The following is a 2,974-nucleotide window of genomic DNA, read 5'->3' on the forward strand; positions in this document are numbered from 1 at the left end:
CCAACAGCATCAGCATCACTGGGAACTGGTTAGAAATGCACATTCTCAGGCCCTGACTAATCAGGAGATCTGTGGGTGGGCCCAGCAATCTGGGTTTTAATAAACTGTCTAGCCCTCCAGCTAGAGGCGTCCTGCCAAATGCTTAGCAACTGGCCCTCCAGGGACAGGGAGAAGCCCTGATGGGTGGTGTTTTCCAGTTCCTGGGGTGCAAATCTCACCATGGCTGATTTCAAGCTACCAATCTGACATCACTAAACGTGCATCAGTAAACGGGGAGTTGGGAAGAGGTGCACACAACTGTCTCTTGAAGCAGCAGCATGAATGGCCTCCAGGTGATTGCGATGCACACCTGTGCCCCAGAACCACTGCTGTAGGCCAGTTGCACGAATGTATCTGGAGGGCAGGAAGATGTATGGGTCTAAAGCTCAAAAGAGAGAACTGGGAGGCAGAAAAGGTTTTGGAGATGTCAGTGTATATACAACCACCTACCAGAAAAACACGGAGTGTGCCAAAATGAATAAGATTCAGTCCCTACCCCCAAGGAGCATGCAGTCACATGGGGAGAAAAATAGGCAAACAGTCACAGCAGAGGGAATGGTGGCTGTACCCAGGAAGAACGGTGGGGGCACAAAGGAGGGGGTGGTCCCCTCAACCTGAGAAGGTCAGAGAAACTTCTTGGAGGAAATGGCAGGAGCTGGGTCTTTAAACACAGGAAGGGGAGGGGATTAGGCAGGTCAGGAAGTGGGAGCCCAGCGTCCCAGGTGAAGGAAAGGCAGAGTGGTGGGAAGAACAAGGTGTCTGCAGGGGTCTGTTGGGGAGAACTGATGGATGGGGAAAGAGGCCCAGTGGTGCAAGTGAGCCCCAAGAAGCCAGGATAGAAGGGCCCTGGGCTTGGAGCTGATGAATATGAACTTTATTTTAGAACATATGAGGAATCATTTAAAAATGTTCTAAGCAGTGGAGGGTTGTAATCATGTTGGAAGATTCTAAAGGTTCTAATGCCCTCCCTGAATCATTGCTTCTTATTGGCACTGTCATTTCCTGTTTCTCACACATGTGGTGCAATCTCCCAACCCCTGCTGTTAGGTCCACAATTCCCCTTCCTGGAACTCTCTCACCTTGGCTCTCCTCTGGGTTACTTCTTATCCTTTGAGGCTCAGCCAAGGGTCACCTCCTCCAAGGCGCCCTCCTTGGCCGTGATGTGACTTGAAATAGGCTTCCTCAGTCCTGCCTGTCACAGCAGCCCATCCATCTCCTTGCAATAGATAGCACTAGCCTCCAGTGATAATGATCTTAATTGTTTCTGTGGCAAAGGTAAAAAGTCATTACGTTTCAGTTCCCATAACTGAACTGTAACTGAATTCAACTTTGTTCTCCAGGCCCTTTTCTGACTCTCTCCCAGGCCAGGATACTGGGTTCAATTTAATAGGGGTCTTTTCAGCTCAGGTTAAATATTATCTCATTCACTGTTCAGTTCAGACTGTGGTTGCTTTAAGAAAAATAGTCAAGTTCTTCAGGATTTTCTTCCCCATTCTCCTGTTCCTGTCTTTCTTTTCAACTGGCATCTGGATCCAAGGGTAAAGCACACACATTTGAGTGATCAGGAGCGGAATTGGAGAGAGAGAAGGGGCCAGAGGGGAGTTTCTCAATGCCACCCTTCAGTCTTCGCTAGCCTCATCTGCAGCAAGGTGGGTCTGGCTGCCCCAGGAAGATCACTGCTGCTGCTGCTGCTGCTGCCAATGGTGCACTTTGCCACCACCTTTGGCAAAGAGGCCTTTGTCCAGACTCCTGGCCTCTTCCTTCTCCCTGAAGTGCTTTCTATTTCCTCCTCCTGTCTGGAAGGATCCCCCAAATAGCACATCTTCCTTTCACAATGAACTTCTTGGTTCTGGGTAGTGTGTCTCCTTCCCTGCAATGTCATCTTCATGGTTCAGCCTTAATGGTGGAATACTGCAGAAGGAAAGAGGGTGTGGAGAGGCAAATTATTGAGAAGGAAGACACATCAGAAATTTTTTTTTTTTTTTTGAGACGAAGTCTCACTGTCGCCCAGGCTGGCGTGCAGTGGCAAGATCTCGACTCACTGCAACCTCCGCCTCCTGGGTTCAAGTGATTCTCCAGCCTCAGCTTCCCGAGTAGCTGGGATTACAGGCACATGCCACTGTGCCTGGCAAATTTTTGTATTTTTAGTAGAGATGGGGTTTCACCACGTTGGCCAGGCTGGTCTCAAACTCCTGACCTCAGGTGATCTGCCCACCTCAACCTCCCAAAGTGTAGGGATTACAGGTGTGAGCCACTGCACCTGGCCCGTCAGAAATACTTCAAAACCATTTTCTTGGCTGCATTTATCTGCTAGTTGGCTGTCTGCCTCACTAGAACAGAAACTTCCTGAGGGCTGGGGCCTGTCTTATTTACAATCCCATCTTCCTCACCTAGTAGAGTGCCTGGTACTCCATAAATGTAGCTAAATAAATAAATGAAGATGTGAAATGATTACATTTGTCTTTGAGAGTGGCTAATTAATGTTTGTTTTTAAAAGGTTGAGCTTGGAGATGTGGAGACAAGAGCCTGGACTAAGGTTGTAAACTAAGGTGGTAATGATAATGGGATGGAGGTTTATTAAGAAGAATTGAGGTATAGACAGCAAAAAAAAAAAAAAAATAGACACAATCAGACTTCATCAAAATGTAAAACTTTCATGCATCAAAGGACACTACCAGGAGAGTAAAAAAACAATACACAAAATGGGAGAAAATATTTGCAAATCACATATCTGATAAGAGATTAATACCCAGTATATGTAACGAACTCCTGAAACTCAACAACAACAAAAAAACAGACCAATTAATAAATTGTCAAAGAGCATGAATAGTTATTTCTCCAAGAAAACATACAAATGACCCATAAGCATATGAAAATATTGCTCCATATCAACTAACTAACAGAGGAATGCTAATTAAAACCACGAGATACCACT

The sequence above is a fragment of the Homo sapiens genome, chromosome 11 (genome assembly GCF_000001405.40).
Source record: "Homo sapiens chromosome 11, GRCh38.p14 Primary Assembly".
NCBI lineage: Eukaryota > Metazoa > Chordata > Mammalia > Primates > Hominidae > Homo > Homo sapiens.